Raw genomic sequence first — 24,684 nt, 5'->3', positions numbered from 1 at the left:
TATAAATGTAGATGATAAAGCAGTGGCAGGGTCTGGGAGGATTGATTCCATTTTTGAGAAAAGTTCTACTGTGGGTAAAATGCTACCAAACAGCATTGTATGCTAGAGAGAAATCTGTCCTGGAAGGAAGAGTCACTCAATGCAGCAAACTTCCAGTGACCATTAGCATTTTAAGCATTATAGTTAAAAAAATGTTTTTTTAGAGACAAGGTCTCACTGTGTTGCCCAGGTTGGAGTGCTGCACCATGATCACAGCTCACCACAGTCTTGAACTCCTGAGCTGAAGTGATCCTCCCCCTTCAGCCTCCCAAGTAGCTGGTACTACAGGCGTGTACCATCATACCTGGCTGTAGTAAAGTAGTTTTAAATTAAGGTACATATTGTTTTTAGACATAATACTATTGCACACTCAATAGACTACAATATAGTGGAAACATATCTTTTATATGCCTTAGGTGACCAAGAAAATGGTATGACTTGCTTTGTTGTTGTTATTTGCTATATTGCAGTGGTCTGGAACTGAGCCTGCCGTGTCTCCCAGGTACACCTGTGCCTACTATGTGTTATCAGGGATTCAAAGATTAGTAAGGCATTTCTTTTTTTTTATTTGTTGCATATATATTTAGGATTGTGATATTTTCTGGTAGACTGATTGTTTTATCATTATAGAATGTCCCTTATTGTGTTCTCCAAGTGTTGTTGCTTTTTTTTTTTTTTAGCAAAATCACTTGATTTTTTTTATTTCACAGTCCTTAAAGAGAATCAAACAAGTTTATAAGAGACCACTAGAGGTCTTTGCATTAGTGATGTATCATTGTCACTCCATTAGGACTTACTTCCTAGTCTCTAGGATAGTAAGGCATTTCAAGGAAGTTTCAAGGAGCTAAATTGTGAAAATGTGAATACCTTTGTCTTTCAAAGGACACCTTGTTTTCATCTCAGTGAGGAAATGCGAGAATCATTGGAGGCATTTTCTTGGCATACATTAAGAGTTCAGGAAATACTAGCTTTTTAAATTATCATATCTGGTTGTGTATAATATGAGAACAAATCCTTTTTGGTGTTTGGACTCCAGCAAGGGTCAACATTGCCCCCACCAAATTAAGCCCTATTATGATTAGGAGGGCCTAACACTGGGAGAGACCTTAGAATGAAAAAAGTAAAATGGAATAATTTTTTTTTAGGGTCAAATATGTGAAACCGTCATTAACATTGGATAGTTTTAAATAAAACAAAGTGTTATGATTGTTGTTTCAAGCTATATATGTTTTTGCATAGTGGACTTGAGACAAGTGCCATATTAATCACTTATTTTGTCCTGGGATGACTTGAAGGAGGGCTAATTTAAGGCGACCTAAAAGAAGTCAGAATTTAGCTTTGTACCAATGCTGGAGTGACTTCTGGGTGTCTGGTAAAATTTCTGATTTTGTTGTAGAAGTTTTAACATTACTGTCTCCAAAAGCCACAAGTATAGACACAGTTTGTGTACATACGTTTTGATTTTTGATGTTGTCATATGTGTGGCTAGAGAGACACTGCCTGAATTTGTCTTCTCCATGAATGGTTTTGGGAACCAGACAAGGCTGGGGACTCAGAGGACATAACTCCCAGTGTGATCATAGAGATGCCACTTAGAACACAGATTCCAAGATTAGGAGAGTCAGACTTCCCCAAGCATACATAGTAGAGTGAGAACTGGGTGTTCCTATGGGAATCACAACCATGCTTGGGGGAATTCTGGGGTCCTGGGAATAGAAAAGTTTTCCTTTGTCAGGCACTGTCCAGAATTCCTAGTTAAGGGTCCTTGTAGAAATTTTCATTCCTGTGCTTAGAAATCTGGCATCCTCTGGTCTTCTGTCTTCTAGTGCAATATGTTTCTCTGTAAAAGATTTCTCAGAAACCTCAGTCAGAAGTTGATGGCCTTAATGTGGTAGAAAATTGGGTTGAGTATATTCTTGCTTTTCCTCTTTCAACTTCAGTAGAATAAGAGCTCCTCTTTGGATCATGATTTCTCTTTAGAAATTTATATGGCAGTGTTTTCTTGCTTTGTCACATCATGGCACATAAAAAATGATATTTGTATATAGCCCTTTGAGGTGAAGTACTGAGGCTGCTCATAGCAGGAGACGATGAAGGTCTTGCCCATTCTCTCTGAAGACTGAGGAGACCTATAACCCCAGCATATCCATTCATAGCTTAAAGGTTGGCAATTTTTGTTTTAGGGGAACTATGTCTAGCTTGCAATTATAATGGTGAATACATACTTTGTGCCATACCCTGTTGTATGCACTGTATGTGTATTACTTCACTTAATGTTTACGACAACCTCACAAGATAGATATTATTGCTATTCCAATTATATATGATAAAAACAGAGGCATGTGAACACTAAGTAACCTGGCCAAAGGTCATACAATTGACAGAACCTAAATAGGGACCTAAGCAGTCTGGTTCCAAGACTGCACTCTTAACTCCTACATTATATTGCTTGAAGAAAGCAGCCACAAGGAGAAAGTCTAACTAAGCCAATAACTTATGTAATATCGAAGCCAAGCCTCGTGGGTCTCTAATGATTTGAGATTTTGGGCAACAGAAACATTTCACCAATGGCAGGCATCGGACCAAGCCTTGGATTGAAATTTAGAAATCTTAAATTCTTTTAAAAAATGTTTTATTATAGAACAATTTATTATCAAATTTACATGTATGTAAGGTAACATCAAGGTAACAAGAAAGTTTGGACAGAATTACATTCAAATTTATGCAGTAAAGTGGAAGAAAAGAACAATGAAAACTTCTCTAATCTCATTGAGAGATGAAAGGATGGGCTTGGTGATGGAAAAAATAAATACTTAATGCACAAAGTCATTTCTGAATTTAGGGGCAGGGATATGAAAATTGTGTCCTTGATTTTTGAGCATAAAACCATTGACCTTCAAAAAGAAGTGGAAATTTGGCAGAGGATCTCTTTTATACAGTGATTTTTATCTCAAGATAAAAAGGGGGTCCTCAGGTCAGCAGAAGCTCCAGACCCAGAGGGAGACAGGGAAAGGGGTTCTTGACCACAGAGAGATGGTTCTGTTCCTGGCCTGGCAGAGAGAGGCTGCTTGAGTTCCACTTGACTCTCCAAAAGAGGGCTGAAGACAGTGTGTCAGGACTCCTCAGTGAGGGAGCTGGGCTGGGATTAGTGACTCCTTTTTTTCTACCATTCCCAATGACAAAGAAATAATCAATCTGGAAACCTAAGTCTCTCCCTCTCAGCTCTTCAGTCCTGCAACCATCCCACCTTGGAGACCTTATTGCTCCATGCAGATAATGATAAGGAAATTAGAGAGGACAGGTTATGGTTGATAAGAGATAATATAAATAGTTGATAACTTAAAGTGAGTTAATTAGAGTCTAAATTGCTTCAGTCTTAAATTAGGCCTGAGGTTTGCGCAGAAACAATTTCCCTTGAGGGTCATCAGATGGTTGTGACAGAGACTAAACTGACCTGCCTTCTTTCTCCTGAGCACACAACTAGACAAAAGCTCTCCTGCAGTTAAGTGTGGTCCCATGACTGCACTGGCTGTTGGGCTGTGCGAGGGAGTGGGGTCTGCCCCTGACAGGACAGGCCCATAAACAATGCCTTCCCAATCCTCCTTGCTCATTGCTTGCTCTCTTTCCTGGTCTTCTGGTCAAACAAGAAGATCTGACAGTGGACTTTAATTCCCTAGGGAATGACAGTCACCAGAAGAAAGGTACTGGGTCATTGGATCACCACAAGGAAGAAATCCACTGCACTGATCAGAATACCCAGCAGGACTTTGTAAGCACAAGACATGAATTTCTATTATGCCAAATCCCTGAGATTTCAGATTTTTCCTGTTACAGTTTCTGGCATAGTCTAAGTAATTCAGTGACAATAACAGTATTAGTCCCTTCTCATGCTGCTAATAAAGACGTACTGGAGACTGGATAATTTATAAGGGAAAGAGGTTTAATTGACTCACAGTTCCACATGGCTGGGGAGGCCTCACAATCATAGCAGAAGGCGAAAGAGGAGCAAAGGCACGTCTTACATGGTGGCAGGCAAGAGAGCATGTGCAGGGGAACTGCCCTTTATAAAACCATCAGATCTTGTTAGACTTATTCACTACCATGAGAACAGCATGAGAAAAGCCTGGCCTCATGATTCAATTACCTCCCACTGGGTCCCTCCCATGACATGTGGGGATTATGGGAGCTACAGTTCAAGATGAAATTTGGGCAGGGACACAGCCAAACCATATCAATAACCAAATAATTGACACATATATAGTGCTTCTATGTGCCAAATGCACTTTATATATATTAACCCAATTTATTCAAGTAAAAGAAATATGAGGTAGGTACTCTTATTATCCCTACTTAAAGATGAAGCACTGTGACTGTTACCTTGCTCGAGGTCATACAACTTGAGTAGTACAGACAGTATTTGAACCTGGGCAATCTAGCTCCAGAGACTACTCTACTGTATTTTATCATCAGAGGAGAAGACAAAATGTGGTCCCTTAATCAGGGGAGCATAGTAAGATTTTGGCCCATAAATGAGTTTCATAATGGCTGTGGGTCTTTCAGCCATGAACACCAGAAAAGAGAACGGAGGACCTGGCTCAGGGAAGTGGAGAATAGGGTCATAGTGTAGTTTAAAGGCAAAATAAATTAAGGTCTGAGCTTCTGGAGCCTTGAAAGAAGTGGAGGTAGGGGACGGATGGGCAGAGTAAGCAGTGCCCAGTACCCCAGATGAACCTCTCTGGAAATAGATGAGGAGGAGGCTCTTGCACTTAGAAGGTACTCCTTAGTGAGCCTCCCTTTGCAGAGGAGAGCAAGGTATGGAGAGGAGAGGTTGGGCAGGAGCTGGGACAATAATTTACCCAGCTGCTCTATGTCCATATTGATTTCTGACATTAAAAAATGCTGCAAGTACATCAGCACTGGTGTGAGGTGGCCTGAGACCTCAGGTGACCTAAGGACCATTTCTAAAAAAAACCCAAAGGGAAAAGAAAATTTGTCCTTTTCCTTTACTTTTTTGAAACTGTCAAGCAAAGAGTGATATCAAGAAGCCTGTCAGTACTGGTCCCTCATTCTAAGCGGACACTGTATGGCTGTTGCTGCTAATAATACTTTGGAGGAACTTCCTAAGGCAACAATCATGATTTGAAATTCTACTTTTCATGCTATTCCATCAGAACCAGCTTACTGTGGACACAAAGGAACTCACAGAAATTTTGATGAGGGATACCTGGAAGTTACTAAGTGGATTGTTGGAAAGGATTGTTCTTTCCACTAACATTTAAAATAACTCTTCATTTTTGTAGCGATTTAGACATAGATTCTGTAAGGCTAAAGATAAAAAATTTAACTTTCTTCCTTTTGATGTATATGCTCTGGAGTAACCTCACTATATTAATTCAGTCAGGTTTTATTGAGAACTTGTTATCAAGGTGTCAACAGCTCTGTGGGTCTTGGGGAGATGCTGTTGGTAAGGGGAGTGAGGCGGGGGTGGCTGCAAAGATTACACATGATTTCTTATGAAACTACTAATTTGATGAGGAAGACATGTATACGACTCATAAAATGAGTGAATAACAAGAAATTGAGGACAGGGAACATGCTGAGTGTGAGTTAAATGTTGAAGTAAACACTCTTTGGTTGTTCAAAACTGGTATTTATTTATTTTTTATGCTCCTCTTCACTATAATAATATATTCTTTGACCAACATCTCTTTGTCCTCTCCTCTCCTCTCCTCTGGTAGACAACATTCTACTCTCTACTTCGATGAGATCAACTTCTTTCGATTCCACATATCAGTGAGATCATGTGGTATTTGTCTTCCCATGCTGGCTTATTTCACCTAATATTCTCCAGGTTCATCTATGTTGTTGCAAATGACAGGATTTTGTTCTTTTTAAATGTCCAAAACAGACAAGTATTTAGAGACAGAAAGTAGCTAAGTGATTGCCTTGAGCCATGGGATGGTGGGGAGAGGATGGATAGGGTGGGGAGAGACTGGGAAATGAATATCAAGGGTAATGAGTTTGTTTTTCGAGTTATGAAAATGTTGTAAAATTGATTTTGGTGATGGTCGCACAACTCTGTAAACAATAACCAATGGGGTTTTAAAGGTTTAAATGGGTGAATTTTTTGATATGTGAGTTATATCTCAATAAAGATGTTTCTTTAAAAAATAAAAAAACTAAAGCAAGCAAACAAAAACTGGTATTTAGGTGTGTGTGGGGATGAAGCAACATGGGGACACTGGGGATGGGGTAGGTATGAAGAGTCATATTTAAACCTACCCAGTAGTGATCTCATTTCTTGTTGAAATGGGTCTAGTAACCTGGCACCAAGTAAACTGATTTAACTTTGGTAAACTGTTTCCCCTTGGGAAATTCCTGTGCAAATTATTATCAGTTCTTTAAGGAATTTTCACTTCCCTTCTACTAAGTGTGAGTGGAGTTCTGTGATTGACAGCAAGCTCATAAGCAGACACTATGTTTTGGGAAAGAATCCTGGTGAAGGTATATGCATTCTGACATTTCAAGGAGGACTTTGTGTGAGTTATCGCTGAGCACTCAATGGCTGCTGCATTTGTTTACACCATCCCTGAAGTATCAGTGTCAAATTCATTGTTTGTAAAGCTCTTTGGGATAATTTGTATATGACAGATTCCATATAAAACTGGTATTTATTCCATTTTGTATTATGCTTTTGGAGCCTGACACATAAGGGTACTTTTACATGCAGCATGCTGGAAATTAATTACTCAACTCCTATTAACACCACTGGGAACTGGGCTCCTGGCTTCTATCTGGGGCAGTGGAAAGGGCCTCACAGGTATGCAAGTAAATTGAAACAAAGACAGGGTAGAACTCAGATATTTATTCAGCTGTTGGAAGTTTTATGGGCAATAAGGCTACAAATAATGTGAGTTATTTTACTGAGCCTTTGCTGGAGAATTGGAGCTTAAACTACCCCCTTTATTTGTGGATGCTGTGTGTGTGTAAATAACAAAATGTCTGTTATCAGCATCTTGTTACCTGGAAATTCCTATTAATTGGCATAATTGTGATTCATTGAGGAAATGATGATATTAATCAGTATTATAAGCCTGAGACAGTGCAAAATCCTGTAGCCTCTTCAGAATCTGAAGAAAGACATTACATTGAGTCTTACTGGGTTTTGATGTTTATTGCTTTTGATTTCTTTGAGCAGAGATAATTCCTGTGACATACGTGGTGATTCCCTGAACAAAACATAGGATTATCCAAAAATATTATACATTTAGGTCATATTGAATGAAGGAATTCACACTAAAAGACAAACCAACACACATTTCATGATAACAGCATATAGCTCATGTTCTTTAAAGGTGTGCAAACTAATAAATTATGTTTGTCTTTATATATATGACATATACAATATATGATACATACATACCTATATAAAGATACGTACACATTCATGTGTATGATATTTTTGTGGCTCGTTTTTGACACTCAGCAAATCAAGATGGTGTTGGTTTGAAGCTTGCAAAATTATGGTCAGTCTTTTTTATTTGTAATCTAATTATTAGAAAACCTTTTGGTTATAATGAAAAATGATAATACAGCAGTCAGGTGGTATCAATGGACTATAGATAGAGACTGAGATGGATTTAAAGTTCTCATCTATCTTGTCCATGGTTTGATCCCTCAAAAGCCCTTCTGGGCATGTTGCACCCTTTGTGTTGGATACTGAAGTATGCACACAATGTGAGCTTCCCATGTCTCAGTGACTTTAAGGTAAGAGATTCTGATTTTCCCATCATGACCCTTGGAAAAGGAATTTAACTTATATAACTTGAAAGTTCACAGACCTCATCAGCATGTGGGTTTGAATGAGGTCACTTATTATTGATGCTATAATCACAATGGTTGTGTGACTTTGGGAAGTCATTTAACCTTTTAAAAACCTGTTAGCTCATCTGTAAAAGGAGGATAATAATAGGACCAACATCATTTTGTCTGCAGATTAAAGGAGATGATCCATGTAAAGCCTATAGCAAGTTGCCTAGTACATAAGAGCTTAAAAATAAATATTGCTAATAAAGACATTATCCTATTTATTGACTAGTTTATGCTGACTATTTTTAAAAAAGGATTTGAGGTGATAACCTTAATGTAAAAATAATACTCAAAATAAAAATAAATCCTCAAAATAAAAATAAAAACCAAAGGTAAAGTAGGTATTATATGTTAATTTTATTTATTTATTTCTAATGATGTTTCTTCAGAGCGAAATATCTGAAAAGAAAAAAGCAGTCATTAGAAGAGCAAGAGGTGTCAATATTTCAACTCAATTCAAATACATCTTTAAAAATTGAATCTTAAGAAGTGAACCATTTAATGTATCTTTAAAAAGTCACTCAATTTCTATATTTTGAAAATAGGTTCAGTTTTACTGTTCTTTCTTGTCTACAACATGACTAAAATATAGAGTTTTCATTTGCCTATCAGACAGAGTTGCTATCAGATTTTTGTAAATGATTCATTCTGTAGGAATGCTTTGTTCTGTAACAGGCAAGTGCTGAGGAAAACTCAGCAAGACTGCCTAGCTTGTTCTTTGAAAACTAGCACTTGATAAGAGTGTTAACTTGAGATGTAATTCCACTTAGTAAAGGGATCATTGAACAGAATGGATGCAATGATTACACCATAATTACACTGTAGCCATAATTATTTTGCAAAGAAAAGGTACATATAACAAATAAAGAAAATATTTAACCATGGGCATACAAAGGAAGAAAAATCTATTACTTAGAATGAGCAAAAGGTGAAAGGATTAAAATGTATGAAAATCAATGGAAATGAAAGCAGTTTGGAAATGTTTACATTGGAATAATTGGAAGAACAAGAAGTATCATTTATGATTTACCAATCATAGCAAGACTCTCTTGGACAGGATATTTTGTAAAGTAAAAATTAAGATGGTGGAGGGAGAAACATTTGTTGAATGAACAAGTCAATGAAAGCTAAATAAACTGAAGAGGCCAGAGACCTTTGAAAAGTAGACTGTGTTACCATGGGAAAACAACCAGAATTAAGACATGAATTCAGTATAAAGTTCATTTTATACTTTTTAATATATAAAGTGTTAAGCTAATTGCTTATATCTTCTCTTTAAGAACAAAATAAAGGGAAGAGTAAGCAATACTGACATTTGGAAAATAATTAGCAATGAAGACTTTACAAAAAGAGCTATTTGGTAATGGTGCAAAAGGGGAAATAGTGATCATTTACTTTTCAAGAGACAATCTATTGCTCTAGCACCATCAGGCATGGAAAGCTTTGTCTTTGGGGCTGGTACATAGCACTTGTGATGGGGCAGGGAAAGGTGAACTGCCTAATCAGCTGACTGATAAATGGATAATTTAATCTGAACAAGGAGGTCATGGTTTTTTAGAATCTTTAATGGTTCTTTTTTTATGACTATGACCATAAATCTCAAATACATTTCAAAATTTTTTTTTTTAGATGTGGGTCTCAATACATTTGCAAAGTACGTATAACATTTGGGTACTTCCTCGTTTAATTATTAGGGTTTTATTTGCAATTAGTTTCATTCCAAAGGAATAAGGAACTTTAAACCATGAGGGGACTGTGGTCTGTAGATGTCAAGGAATTAGTTGCCAATGGATGACTATTAGCTTCTAGAGTCTCCAGAGTCTTACCCACCTATGAAGTTCCCATTCCTTAAACAGGCATCACTTTCCCTGATCCCTGGAAGTTGTAACCTATTTCCAAAGGGAGCCATCTAGTCAGTGGTGGCAGTCACTTCTGCAGACCTGGTTAATGTTCATTATATACCAGCAGTTACCACATTCAATAAAGCCAACAGGATTTGTATCCCTAAAGCAATGACAGAAATGAGTTTACAGATATCTCAATTGCCCTGTGCCATGTGGCCATTACCCTTTAACTTTCTCAGACGAAGACCACACAGCTAACCTATATCTCATGAGGTCGAAGGTCTGGCAGCCCCTGAAAGAGGAAAAGCATTTCTGCTGCCTTCGTCTCCTCCATTTGCTGAGGCTGGGAGCCTGCAAAATTAGAGCTTCACTGTGGCTCCTTCTGGTGTGTGGTCGTTTTACAATTTGCCAATTTTTTGCAGTGCTTTGGATTGCTACAATCTTATCATTTTCAAAAACTCATCATTACTTGTTCTCTCAGTGTAGATCATTTGTAGTTATAAGGAAAACCTCCCTCTGCTTTTAATCTCACACTGGGGTAGGGTTTCACGTTTTACTTTTCAAGTGCACTTCCACAAAAGAGAAATAAATAGGATTCTCTCAAAACCAGAATGCTATCATAACTTTTTATCTCTTACCACTCTAAACTCAAGGGTGGGTTAAGAGGCATCTTCTTTTTCTCATACCAAATTACTATTAAATATAACTGCTGAGTTTGGATTGACCAGGCAAAGAGGCAAAGAAGCTAAAAAGAACTCTCAGATAGTCTGTGTCATCAACAAGGGCTTATACTAAACAGATAAATATTCCTGAAAGTGTAAAGCTACATCTTCAAAAATAACATATATATGTATACACATGTGTGTTTGTATGTATAATATCTATATGTGTGTATATATGTATGTGTATTTATGTGTCTATCATCTATCTGTCTACCGAATATACTTATTAATCTGAAGCTTCACTGAACAGGTGAAGGTTTTGAAATAAGCTATTACAATTCAGGTAACAACAATAACAGAATCAAAGTAAAGCAGACATGAGGGACTCCAAATAAAATATTTGGCCCTTTGCTGGAAGTTTCACTCTGGGAAAGCATAGCATCTAATCTGATGTGTTCTTTAGTTGCCTTGCAAAAATTAGGTCCTATTTATGAAGTTACAGCTACTGAGAAAACTGGGGTGTCTCTTTACTTTCATGGCTTTGACCCCATATATTTGCCCCACTCAAAAATTTGTTTTGGAGAAGTCTAGAGATGTCATAACACACAGAGAAAGAAATGTGTGTGTGTATATCAGGAAGATATAATGGGTCCCCAAGGTCCCCAGGAAAGAATTACTGTGGTCTGTTATTTTGATTAATAAGAAAGAATAGTCAAGAATTTGAAAATTAATGAAACTGTAGGGAAAATTACTTTTCATCCTAGAGTTTTAACGTGACAAAGGGCTAGAAAACTGAACATTATCGGATAAAATTTGGACTTTGTAAAGTAGATTTTTTAAAGCTCAGAGAAAATATAGGTATGAATCCCTGACCAAAGACTGTGAAAATTTAGCAACTTGTGTAAGATGAGAGGTTCTGTTAAGGAAAGTCTGATGACTTCAAATGATTGAAGGGTAGGGACCTTATATCCAACAAGATGGATGTAGCTGTCCAGGTCCCCTCAAATGAGCTCTGGTAATGCACTAAACATGGAGAGAAGGGCATGCCACCAATAATACAGTGGCATGATCTTACAGACTGGAACAGGGACTTGTGAAAAACACAAAAACAATACAATGTACTTAAAAAATGTTACCTTTTTACAAATATTTGAGAGATGCATAAGCAAAAGGAAACGTCTCTTGCTTTAAGCAGATATAATGATATTATAATAACTGGGAGAAAATAGAACCATTCACCTTCTACTTTGCATCTCCATCTGGAGAATAATTTTTGAAGTGGAGGTGGTATAACCAATATTATTGTGATGGAATTGAAGGTAGTGAAAAGCCAATCCCCCAGGTTGAGATGAGCAGCATAGAGGATGTTGTAATAACTTGCAGATTCAGTTTGACTCAGTGCCTATACAGTTCGTCTATGCCCTGGGTAGTCTGCTAAGCACAGAGAGATATTCAAAGGGAATGGGACAATCCAAATGCTTCTGCCACACGCCTGTTACCCACATGTTTGAGGTGTTCGTGGGAGATGGGAACTGGAATTGGGAAATAGCAGCTGTTTGCCCTTGTGGATAATTGGTAATCTGTTGTTTATAAATCAGAGGCTGGCTGCCTTTGCCTATAAAACTCCCTGGTCTTTCTGGTAATAAATTACATCCATTCTTGTGTCCGTATTGTTTAGTAAATTCAGTAGCTTTAAAAATTTCTGTCACAGGCAGAATTTTGTATTTTTGTTATCAACACCATTATGTTCAGATGTATTGTGTTATAGACATGATTTTGAAGACGCCAATTTTTCCCCTATTTTTACTTCTATTTGGACAGAAAAGTCTAAACTGTAATCTTCAAGAATCCAAGTTAAATGGCCTAGAATCATAGTTTGGTTATTCTGATTGGCCATCAAATTGATTTCTTCATTCTAGGTAAAGATGACCCAAGAAGCAAAGGGAACTCAGGAAACAATGACATTCTTCAATTCTTCAATTCAATAGCTAACCAGCTAGGAAAAGCTCCATGTCCAGTTAAACTAAGAAGGTGTCATACGAGTGTAGAAAACAATGAATAAAACAGTGCAGAAAAGCAGAGGCCATTGAACTTCATATCTCTGCCCAGCTGCAGCATTACTCAGAATTTACGAGTGTGCCAGCCTTTGCACCTTCAAAACATTTTCCCAAGTATTTTAGGATTCTCACATAAATATTGCTGTAGTAAGTATCATCAACATTTACTAGCTGTTTTTCAAGAATAGCCAAGTGACATTGTTATGGTCTGTCATCAAACCAGGGGAGGTGTGGAGGAGGCCAAAATTGATCATTGCAGATAAGGATGATGTTTATACAGATATGCACAGAAGAGTTTATGCCAAATAATGTGTATATTTTTCAATATATTAGCAGTATATCAGAGTTTCCTGTTTGCTTGTGGTAGGGTGCTCTTCATACATTCCATCCAAATATCCCTAATGAGAGACAGGAGTGAATTATATTTACCACAAAGGTATTTTTTTTTTGAAGTCTTGTACTTATTTTTAAAACTTGTGGGGCCAGGAATGGTGGCTCATGGCTGTAATCCCAGCACTTTGGGAGGCTGAGGCAGGCAGATCACCTGAGGTCGGGAGTTTGAGACCAGCCTGATCAACATGGAGAAACCCCATCTTTACTAAAAATACAAAATTAGCTGGGCATGGTGGCACGTGCCTGTAATCCCAGCTACTTGGGAGGCTGAGGCATGAGAATCTTTTGAACCCGGGAGGCGAAGGTTGTGGTGAGCCGAGATCACACCATTGCACTCCAGCCTGGAGAACAAGGGCAAAACTCCATCTCCTTTTGTTCTTGTTCATTTCCTGGCTGTCTTAAGAAATTATCAGCAGTTCTCATACTTAAGTGCATATAAGGATCACCTGGAGTGTTTGTTAAAAATGTGGTTCCCTGATCTCTATATTCACCCCTTTCCTCTTGATCCTGATTTGGTGAGTGTAAGGTAGGATCTGGAAATAAATATCCCAGGTGAATGTTTCTGTTTAGGTGACCCAAGTACCATGCTATGAGATACGTGGCTCTAAGAAGCAACCTTGGAATGTTCTGTTACCTCACTTTGAGAAGCACCTTTTTAAAGACACTAAGAGTATTCACCGTAGAGATGAATAATCCACTCTTCAGGTTTCTTGGTCATTCCTGCAATTCAGTCAGTGTGGACTCAACTCTCTTACAAGTCTCAAGTTCTCTATCTTCAGTGTTTTTACTAGAGGCATTCCTTTAGCCAGTCCCTATATTTGATCAACTCATCTTCAAATTCTATTGGTTCTTCCAGGCTCTCAAATGCTGCCTTTCCCACAAAGAGTCTGTCTTTTCTGTCTCATTCAGTTCACCATGACTTTTCTCCTGAGCTCTCTCTTGATCCTTGTCTTGTTTATATACATGTCGTATTCCTCCTAATTGAGCCTATGTTCCACAAGAGGAGTCCATGTCAGATAAGTCTCTAAGCCTCTAGCAGTACCCACCATGTTCCTTTGAATGCAATAGCTGCTCAATAAATGTTAATGGAAAGGGTGATTCTATGAGAAAAGGCTACTATCTGGAGTTGAGAAGGACACAAAACCAGAAAAAAACAATAGCTGTTACTTAATTCTGTTAATGTGGTGATTAATAGGAGCACATTTCTTAAGTGGAAAGAAAATCCAAAAATGAGTATAGCAGTGATGCAATGAAAAATGAGTGTTTAGACCCATAGATTGTACAATACAAAAAGTAAACCCTGATGTGAAGTATTGAATTTAGTTAATGATTATTTGTCAATATTGCAACTAATGTATTGCAAGATGTTAATTACAGGGGAAACTTAAAAGGGAGGAGTTTGAAGGGTTATGTGAGAACTCTGTACATTCTACTCAAATTTTTCTGTAATCTCTTAAAATAAAGTCTATTAATAAAAACATAAAAAATAAGTAGTAATAAAAAGAAAAGGGAAATGAGTAAGCTGAAATGATAAGAAATTAATGTAATGAATAAAATTCAACCCGGGCTTGTGAAAAAGTAGGAAAGCAGGGCCTGGCTTGTTATGGTTGGGAATACTCTTTCATGATTGTTTATACACAACACTTCTAAAGAATTCTTTGAACTCAGCTTTATCATTAGTGAAATGAGGTTTTCCCATTTAGAAACATATGATAAAACACAATTATCAATAAGCAAGCATGAATTTTATAATAAAAAATGTCCCAGCACTTTGGGAGGCCGAGGCCGGTGGATCACCTGAGGTTGGGAGTTCGAGACCAGCCTGACCAACATGGAGAAACCCGGTCTCTACAAAAAATACAAAATTAGCCGGGCGTGGTGGCACATGCTTGTAATCTCAGCTACTTGGGAGGCTGAGGCAGGAGAATCACTTGGGAGGTGGAGGTTGTGGTAAGCCGAGATTGCGCTATTGCACTCCAGCCTGGGCAACAAGAGCGAAACTCCGTCTCTCTCTCTCTCTCTCTCTGTCTATCTCTATATCTATATCTATATCTATCACACACACACACGCACACACAAAAAAGTCCAAGAATTCACCTTGTTACAAATTGGAATGTAACTGTAAATATCTATATGTATATTTATAAGGGCAGAGGTGAAACAGAGCTGTAGGGAGGATAAATTCTACCAAGGAGTTTAAAGAATACTTTCCTTGGACTAAGGAGTCGTGCTATAGCATCAACCATTCATGGTTTGACAATGAGTGATGAGAGAGAGAGGAGAGAGAAAGCAGGCTTCTTACAGCTGGGCTCACACATATTCAGCAGCTCATTTTAGAGGGAAAAAATAACAATTTTCAATTTATGAACAGTGTAAGTATCTAAATGATTCAATGTAGAATATCATATTGCCAACTCCCTGAGAATTATGCAGTCAGCACAATTTGCAAATTTGAATTGTTTTGTTTTAACCTTTATCAGGGTTCTCCGTTCTCCATTTAGTGTTATAGCAATCCAGGATCTTCCTCTATTTTGTTGCTAAGCCATTTTCATGTACATTAATATATATATAAAATTATATATACTTCATATGCATTTCTCTATCAATAGAAAAGAGAAGTTTGCACCTAGTGTTTCTATTTAGCTTTCTTCCTTCATTGATATGGAGAATACCATTTATAGTTTCATAAGTGTGGTTTATGTCTATGCTTGAGCAAGGTAAGGTTGTTGTATGTGCTCTCAGAGCAAAAGATCTGGATGTAACTGGTTCAGGCCAAATCTTTTCGGAAACCTGCTCAGCACCATAGTGCAGTGCGTGCTTCTCAAACTTTAATGTGTTAAAAAATCCATCTAAAATGCAAATTCTGATTTGGTAGGTCTGGGGAGGAGCCTGAGATTCTGCATTTCTAACAGATTTCCTGCTGATGCCGATGCTGCATAGCAGGGGGAGAGGGGAGCCGCCTCTTGCCTGCTGGATGACTTGTATCTAATCGGATCCTTTTTTTTCTTTTTACACTTTATAGTAAGCTGTGGATATTCCAGAGATGAGAGAAAGTCTGAATTTTTTTTTCACTGATCCTTTCTGATACTCTAAGGACTTGTCTCCCACCTTCTGTCTATGAGGCCGGTGGGTATGAGTTTGCATGAACACCTCTGAATGCCATATATGCTACAGCCTATAAAGCATGTAAAAGAGATCTTGTGTAGTCAGGTAATAAATACGATAATCAGAGGGAAGACGTCTCTCCTTTCTCAGAAAGACACATTAAGGGCTGCAAAACTGGCATTTGGTTATTTTAAGTGCCAATGAGGTGTTCTTCATGATTATTTTTAAAAAGGTAAAGTGATGATCAATTGGTAATTAAAATAGACATTTTTATGTGTTTAGAGATGATTTCTCAGTGGTCCATCCCTGAAGAATCTTCTGCCCCCCTGCAAATTTTCACATGATTTCATGACTAAGCTCTTTACAGAGAATATAGAACACCTCATATGGCTATTTCTTCTGTAAATGCCTTTAGCATAAACTGATCAATGAATTCATAAAGATTGTGCAAAATTTCAAATTTTTCTGCCGGATGAATGATTCAATTTGCAGAAGCACTTTGCTGAGGAGCTAAAGTTAGGGTAGGCAAGGGGTGGGGAGAGTGAGAATAATGGGAAGGAAAAGGTAGCTTCAGCTGGGGGAATTCACTCCAGAGGAGGAAAATGTGTTCTGCTCTCCAACCTTGCAGGTAGCATGTTTGGCTGCCACAGGAACACATTATTTGTTCTTTTTCCCTGACACTGAACTAAAGAATGCATTGTGGGAAAACCCATCCTGACATATGACACAGTGCAAAGGAAGATCACAGCGTGAGGCAGCATCAAGGGGTTGACACGGCCTTGATGCACTCAGGCACAGCACGGGGTCGCCAGGATGAGTGGCTCTTCCAACGGAAGCCCGGGTACAATTTGCACAATTCTCCTGAGAGCTCTCAGTGAAGCCCCAAGCCCCTGTAAACTGGGCCAAAGAGGAGAGCAAAGACCCTGCCCCCCGCCTGGAGACACACAAAGGGAGGCATTTCGAAAGGGGCTTAGTTAAAAGGAGAAAAAATTATACACAAATATTAGAGGAAAATTGGAGTGGATTTTTAAAAAGAGTCTAACAGGACAAGACCAAAGGGGATGGAAAGAAAATCGAAAGTGTGGGGAACTGGATAGGAGAGCACATATCAAAGTGATGTGTTAAACTTTTCTCTCTCTCTCTTTTTTTTTTTTCTTAAAAGAGAAAGACCCTTGGAAATGCTACAAGTGAACCTGATCTGTTTTGGTGAAAAAATTTTCTTTTCTTTCACTCCCTTGTAACTTTTTAGCAGTTTCCTATGTCCAAATGGAAGTTTGCATTTTGTAAAAAAGAGAAAACCCAGCAAGCCCAATCAGTGTTTCTTTCTATTATGTCTCTGAGCAAAAGACCCGCCTCCACCCATTCTCCCTTGTTGCTCCTGCTTATCATAATATGCCACATTTTGTTCATCAAATTTACATTTCAAAATTTCCATATTGCTGCCATACATTAATTATTAATCTTTCACCAATCCTTCTGTAGAAGCATTTTAAACTTTGATTTCACTATCCAGTCTGAGGAAAATAAGCTTTAATCATGACCCCTTTCTAGAGGATGCTTTCCTTTCCTCATCCTATGAAGAATTTACCTTATACATGTGCCAGACAAGTATTTAGAAAAATCTCATAGGTTTTAAAAAGCAGACTAGGAAATGTTTGAGATTAAGAATAACTCTTGTTTTCCAGAGCCATTGAAAGCTCTTTTGAACAATTCTAGGTTATGTTACGAACAAGGATTTTACTTAGATTTAATGAGGGTTACCGTAGTAGAAACTGAACCAATTTTATTTTTAGTCCATTGAATACCTGCCTACTTACTCAAGTCAACCAAAACTGTCAGATCAATTGTAAGAGTGGACCCTACTTTTATTGGAGCCTTGCCTCTGCTTGTAACCCTTGAGGTTGCCTTAGTGTTGTTTATCGACTTCATTTCACATTCAATAAAAATAAATAGATCGAAATTATCATTTCAAGTTATATTTCAACATGACTTCTTCATGGTTATGATATTTTTCGAATTTATTTCTGCCTCTAAAATCAGCTTACTAATTATAACAGCTGTTTTAAATATTTTAGTTAGGTTATGTACCTCTTTAAGAATTTGATAAAAACTAGAAGGAGGAAATGTCTATATGCTTTCTTCATGCTATTTCAGGGAATTCAGGGGGCCCCAAAAGATTACGCAGAGATCTTTTAAGGTTCTTGGACTTTAGATCGAGAACTCGTGTTAGTGATACAGAAGTTCCTGAATTTTACTGTCCCCTTTCTGGCCTCTATTCCCATGAATCCCAGCTGAAGCCTGTGTTGTGTTTAGTATCACATATAAATGGTCCTGAAATAAAATCCATGTCAGCTTCTTAGTTTGGTGGCTATGCAGAATTTTGTATGTCAACTCTTACTGCTTGGTATTGCAGCTGAGTTTACGTGGTGCTATATTCTACTGTGGTCCTCCTGATTTCACCTTTGCTGTTAAGCAGTGTGTTTGATTTTGCAAACTACAGGAGGGGCCTCAGCTCATGGGAGAAAAAACACAAGAGCAGGAGACAGGTGACATGGCTCTTGCATGTTGTTCTTGCTACGACATAACTGTGTGACCTTGAGTAAGTTGCTTTATCTCTCTGGGCTTCAGTTTTCTAATAATAGCTATTAGTTATTGAGTCCATGCTATGTGTTGGCTAAATACCTAACATATATCCTGTCACTTACTCCTTACAATTACCCTAACAGACAACTTCTGTTGGCCTCAGGTTATAATTTAGAAAAACTGAGATTTGGAGAGGTGAAGGGGGCATAGCCAGAATTCAAACTAAGATAAGTCCAATTGAAGAGTCCAAGCTTAGTTACTTTCTTACTCTCTGTTCTATACAGCTCACTGTGTAAAATGAGGCAGTGGGACTTGAAGCCAACTTGAACGTTCCACAAGTCTATAAGAAGTCACTGGGAGCCATATTGATTAGTAAATATTCTAATCCCCTTTTTTTTAGATCTTAGAAACAACTTTATTGAGGTATAATTGACATACAAAAACTTCCCATATATAAAGTGTATCTTTTGGTGAGTTTTGACCTATGTACACACCTATGAAGCCATCATCACAATCAAGATAATGAACATACCCATCACTTCATAAAGTGTTCTTTTGCCCCTTCTAGTGCTTCCCTGCACCTCCTCCAAAGCTACTTTCCGTCATCTACTTTCTGTCACTATGGATTAACTTATATTTTCTTGATTTAAAAAAAAAATTGTGGTATCTCATTATAATTTAATTTTCATTTCCCCAATGAGTAATGATGTTTGGCTTTTCATATTTCATGTTTTCATGTGCTTATTCACCATCCTCGGAGAAATGTCTGTTTAAATCTTTTGCCCATTTTAAAATTGAATTGTTGATCAAATTATGAGAGGTCTATATTTTCAGAATATAAGTCATTTATTAGATAAAGGACTTTAAAACATTTCTCATAGTTTGTGGCTTGAAGAATCTTTTGCACGACAGAAGTTTTTAACTTTGATAAAGTCCAATTTATTGATTTGTTCTTTTATGGATCATGTTATAGTTGTATCTAAGCATTTTTTGACTAACGGTCACAAAGGTTTTCTTCTAGAAGTTTTCTAGTTTTAGCCTGTTCATTTAGGTCTGTGATTCATTTTGAGTAAATTTTGTGTACAGTATGGGATATAGATCGAATTTCTTTTTTTTGTATATGGATATCCAATTTTTCCGACAATATTTGTTGAAGAGTCTATTATTTCCTTACTGAATTGTCTTTGCACATGTTTCAAAAATTAGTTGTATTTGTATGTGCAGAGATCATTTCTGGACCCCATTTTGTTTCATTGATTTGTCTGCTTTGGTATCAATACCAAACTGTCTTGATTACTATAGCTATAAAATAACTCTTGAAATGAGGTAGTGTTAGTATCCTAATTTTTCCTTTTTCAAAATTATTTTGGGTATTTTTAGGTTTATTAAATCTCCATATGAATTCTTTGAGGTCTACTTTGTCTGATATTTACTCACTGAGTGATACTCAGTTTTATTTTGATTACTGTTAACATAGTGTATCATTTCAATTCCTTTACTTTGAACCTATTTGTACATTTATATGAAAAGTATATTTATTATAGGGATTGTATAGTTGAGGATTGCCTTTTTAACCAATTGGAGAACTAAACAAATATATACATATTCATATTGTGTAAATGGACTAAGCATCTCAATTACAATTTTAATTTTTGCATATGAATGTGGGTGCTTAGGCCATTTACACGTAATGTGGATATTTGTGTATTTAGATTTAACTCTATCATCTTGCCATTTGTTTTCGGTTTTGTCCTGTCTGTTCCTTGTTTTCTTTTTCTCCTTTATCTGTCTTCTTTTGGATTAGCTGAATTTTTTTAATCATTCTATTTTACCTTTTTTGTTGGCTTATTAGATTAACTATTTTAGTTCTCAATCTAGGGTTTATAGTATACATATTTAATGTATAATATGTCTATCTTCAAGCCACATTGTATCACTGAATGTATAGTAATAAACACCTTATGATAATACCATTTTCCACCTACAGATCTTGTGCTGTTGTTGTCATATATTTTACACACACACACACACACACACACACACTAAACCATATACTCCATTGTTACTATTTTTGTTTAAACAATCAGCTATGTTTGAAAGAGATTAAGTAATAAGAGACAAACATGTTTATCCATGGCGTTACAATTTCCTCTGCCCTTTATTTCTTTATGTAGATCCCTCTTTTCATCTGGTATCATTTCTCTTCTTTCTGAAGGATTTCCTTTACATTTTTTTGTCAATGAGAAATTGGTTCTCATCTTTATCTTTGTTCCCCTGTATATAACATGTATTTTTCTCTGGCTGCATTCAAGATTTTCCCTTTATCACCATTTTTGAGCAAGTTGATGATGATGTGTAATTGTATAGATTTCTTGAATGTTTCCTATGCTTGGGGTTCTGTGAGTTTCCTTGATCTGTGAGATTATTGTTTTTAATCAAATTTGAAAAAACAATGGCCAGTATTTCTTTAAATTTTTTTTATGTCTTCCCTTTTAATTATACGCTTAAAGTTGTCCCACAGTTATCTGATGCTCTCTTCATTGTTTTGGCTCTCTTTTTCTCTCTGCATTTCATTTTAGAGATTTTTTAAATTACTATTTCATTTTGGATAGTTTTTATTACCATTCCTTCAAGCTCAACAGTCTTTTATTCTGAAATCTATAATCTAAGACTATACCCAGTGCATTTTTTATTGAACACATTGTAATTTTTATTCTACAAGTGTGATTTAGGTCTCTCTATTTCTAATGTCTTTGTATGTTAATTCTAACACCTATGTTAGATTTATGGATTTTTCTCCTCATTATGAGTCATATTTTTCTCTTTCTTTGCACACTGGGTGCTTTTTGATTGGATGCCAGACCTTGTAAATTTTAGCTTATTAGGTGCTAGATATTTTTCTATTTCTGAAAAGAGTCTTACATATATTCTGGGATGCAGTTATATTATGTGGAACAGTTTGATCCTTTTGGGACTTTCTTTTTATTTGTTAGATGGGTCTGGAGCAGTGCTTGGTCTAGGGCAAATTATTCCTCACTACTAAGACAAGACCTTTTCATGTACTCTACCAAATGCATTGTGGACTGTGAGGTTTTCCAGGCTGGCTGTGGGAACAGGGACTATTCCTGATCCTGTGTAAGCTCTGGACACTGTTAACTCTAATCCTTTCACTTGATTATTTCCTAGACAGCATGTAGTTTTCTTATGCACATTCATGGATAGTTACTCACTGTATTCTCAAGGGGACCTCCCTGCTAATTTTGGAAGCTCTCTGTTTTTATTTAGAAGCTGTATTTATGCAGGACAGTGAGATTTGAAAGATGTATATGCTTTCTATAGATGGAGAGGAGACTACAGAGTATTGAGGCAGGAGAGTTCCCAAACACATGATGCAGCAGCCAATAAGAACCACCTAAAGGAATCCCTCCTGGAGACAGTGAGAAGACTCATTCAATTCGAACTGAAGTTGCTTGTGGTGTGAAAGAATGTGGTGGTTTTGGAAAGGTAGGCTAATGCCTCTTATGAGGGCATTTGACCCAAAGCAATGAAGACTGGAGCCAAGCATGTCTCTTTAACTAATGTGTCTCGAGGGTCTAACTGTGTTAAAGTGCTGGACAGGAGGTAGACACAGACATCTGAGTTTCTGTTCCAAGGAGCTCATCTTTAGTGCAGACTATACAGTTGGAGCAAAGCACAGATTCAAGAGTTTTAACTTTATTCCTTAAAGAGTAGGGATCCACTGACTACTTTTGAAAAGCAGCCTGATGAAATGCAGGTCATGGTTTAGGAAAAATTTGGCAGTTGCATGTTATGTGTACAGGATAGGGAAGAGCCTGGAGAAATCAGCAAGGAGAACATTTCAGAGTTCAATGTGAAAAACGCGGATGGAGATGGTGGGGGTGGGCAAGGAAGTGGAGGTATCCAGAAAAATGAGTGGACTGAATATGGAAAAATACTTTATATGCAAGGTGAAGGCAGGAAGGAGTCGAGGATGACTTGAAGGCTTTGAGGAGACTTGATTGATAGAATGCTGGTACCAGGAATACAAATAATGATGGCAGAGAGGAGCTTGTTTCAAAGTAAATATGACAAATTCATTTTTAGGTGTTTGAGTTTTGAGGTGACAGTGGTATACAGAAGTAGATATGTACAGCTGTTGTTTGAAAATATGGTATTATAAGGAAAGTTCAGGGCTCAGGATATAGATTTGAAGGCCACCAAATGAAATTACAGTTTAATTCATTCATTTATTTACCAAGTGATTGGTATGAACAGTTTATCAGATGCTGAGCTCAGTTCTGGGATGCAAAGACACAGAAGTGCCATCTCTATCCTTGAGGAGCAGGTAAACGCTCGATGTAATACAGTCTGGTGAGAGCTATGCTTGTGGTAGAATGGCAGCACAACGGGGTGACACCCAGCTCAGAGTAGGGAGTGCTGGGAAAGCTTCCTGGAGGAGGTGTCACCTGAGCTGTGTTTTAGAACAAGTAGGGGTTAATCAAGCAGAGAAACAGGTACAGGGCATTAGAGGCAGAGTGGACAGCATGTGAAAAGGTACAGAAGCAAGGGAGAGCATGGCATATACGGGATCTGGTTGGAGTGCATGCATGTGAGGGAGAGAGAAAGATAATACTGCAGGGGGAGGCAGGAGTTGAATTATGAATGGCCTTGTAGGTTGCTTGTAACTTTGGGCTGCCATGTAGTACATCCACATGGAGATGCCCAAAGCCAGTGGGTACCATCCTGTGGGTGACGGGTTTTCTGGCCAATTTAAACTTGAAAGCAATGTGATCAGATGAGAAATTTAGAAAGACTGCTCTGGCAGTGGTGTGATGCAGTGATTGGAAGGGCTAAAAGCTGAATTCAGGGGAACTAGTTATAATTCCACTTTAGTTATGAAGGTGGAATGAAGAGGGTCTGAATGAAGGCAGTGTCAATGGGAAAGGAGAAAAAAGGATAGTTAAAAAGTTAAAGAATTTTAATAGGCAGAATTTCATGACAGATCAAACTGAAGAGATTTGAATTTGGAGTTTATTAGCTTGCAAGTGTTTTGAATCACTCAAAGGAAAGAGCTGTCCCAAGGAGCGTAGTGATAAAAATAAATGGAGTCTATTTAAGTGGCAACCCTAGATATCCCAATCCTGAGATTCCTGCGGCTTGATAGGCTTCTGAGGAAGAAGATGTGAAGAAAGATATGAAGATGGGGGAATGGAATTAGGTGGAAATTGGCATTTAAGAGGGCAGGAAGAGGACAGGAATTAGCATGGGGAATAATAGAAAGAAAATAAAGAGGGCATAATGTCATAGAGGCTCACCAAGAATCTCAGTAGAGAAAGCCTAGTCAGCAGTGCTGTTGAGAAGGATAACTGAATGGATAGCACCTTTGGGGCATTAGAAAGTCCCAGGTGACTGCAAACAAAGCTGTTTCAGTACAATGTGAGACAGCAAGGCTAATAATCCAGAGTGGGACTGAGATTTTGAGGAAATGGATTTAGTAGGTGTAGGTGAGACCAGTTACATGATGCTGAGCCTCCAGTGCGTGTAGTCACCTGAGATATAGCAGAATCTCACATCTTGAATTTAGTTCTGATAGTTTACCACCTATGAATACTGCAGTAGAACATGTGCATAATGGCATTTTCTGTAATATTAAGCATATATACCAAAAACATTTTAGGGAAAACAATCATAAAAGATAAGAATAAACACCCTCAAGGAATTGAATAGAGTTTAAATATGACCTTGCATCATCAATCTTACTTTCTGAACTATGATAGCCCATAGTTCCTGTTTCTTTTGATACTGCATTTTATCATTTCTTGGTCTCATGACAGAAACTTTTCTAAGCTGAAAAATCCCTTCTGTGCTCTTTATCATGTTAGTTGACTTCCTGACTTGTTGTGAAGCCTGTTCCTTCTATGTGAAGCAGCAGATCAGAGGCTGTTGAAAGCCAGGTGGGATGGGAGGCCACAGAGTCAAAGCTGTGTTTCCACATTGTAGCTGGGGATGCTTAGCAGACACCCAGACTGCGCCAGCCCAAACACTCGAAGAAGCTCTTTCTGACCACATGTTGGCCAGCAGCCTTCTTGCCCTGTAATCTGCTTTCATGTAGATTTTCTTTTTCTTAAATTT

The 24,684-nt window shown here is 37.6% G+C and overlaps 1 annotated feature.

Annotated features, from left to right (window-relative positions):
* Positions 16,443 to 16,992: an enhancer, noted in NCBI's record as "OCT4-NANOG hESC enhancer chr6:99164203-99164752 (GRCh37/hg19 assembly coordinates)". NCBI's record gives its function as "activates a minimal SCP1, AML or CMV promoter by ChIP-STARR-seq in naive H9 embryonic stem cells {active_cell/tissue: H9 hESC(naive)}" and the evidence as "EXISTENCE:reporter gene assay evidence [ECO:0000049][PMID:30033119]".

This window comes from Homo sapiens, chromosome 6, assembly GCF_000001405.40.
Source record: "Homo sapiens chromosome 6, GRCh38.p14 Primary Assembly".
In the NCBI taxonomy this organism is placed as follows: domain Eukaryota; kingdom Metazoa; phylum Chordata; class Mammalia; order Primates; family Hominidae; genus Homo; species Homo sapiens.
This window is presented reverse-complemented; position numbering and strand designations above follow the sequence as displayed.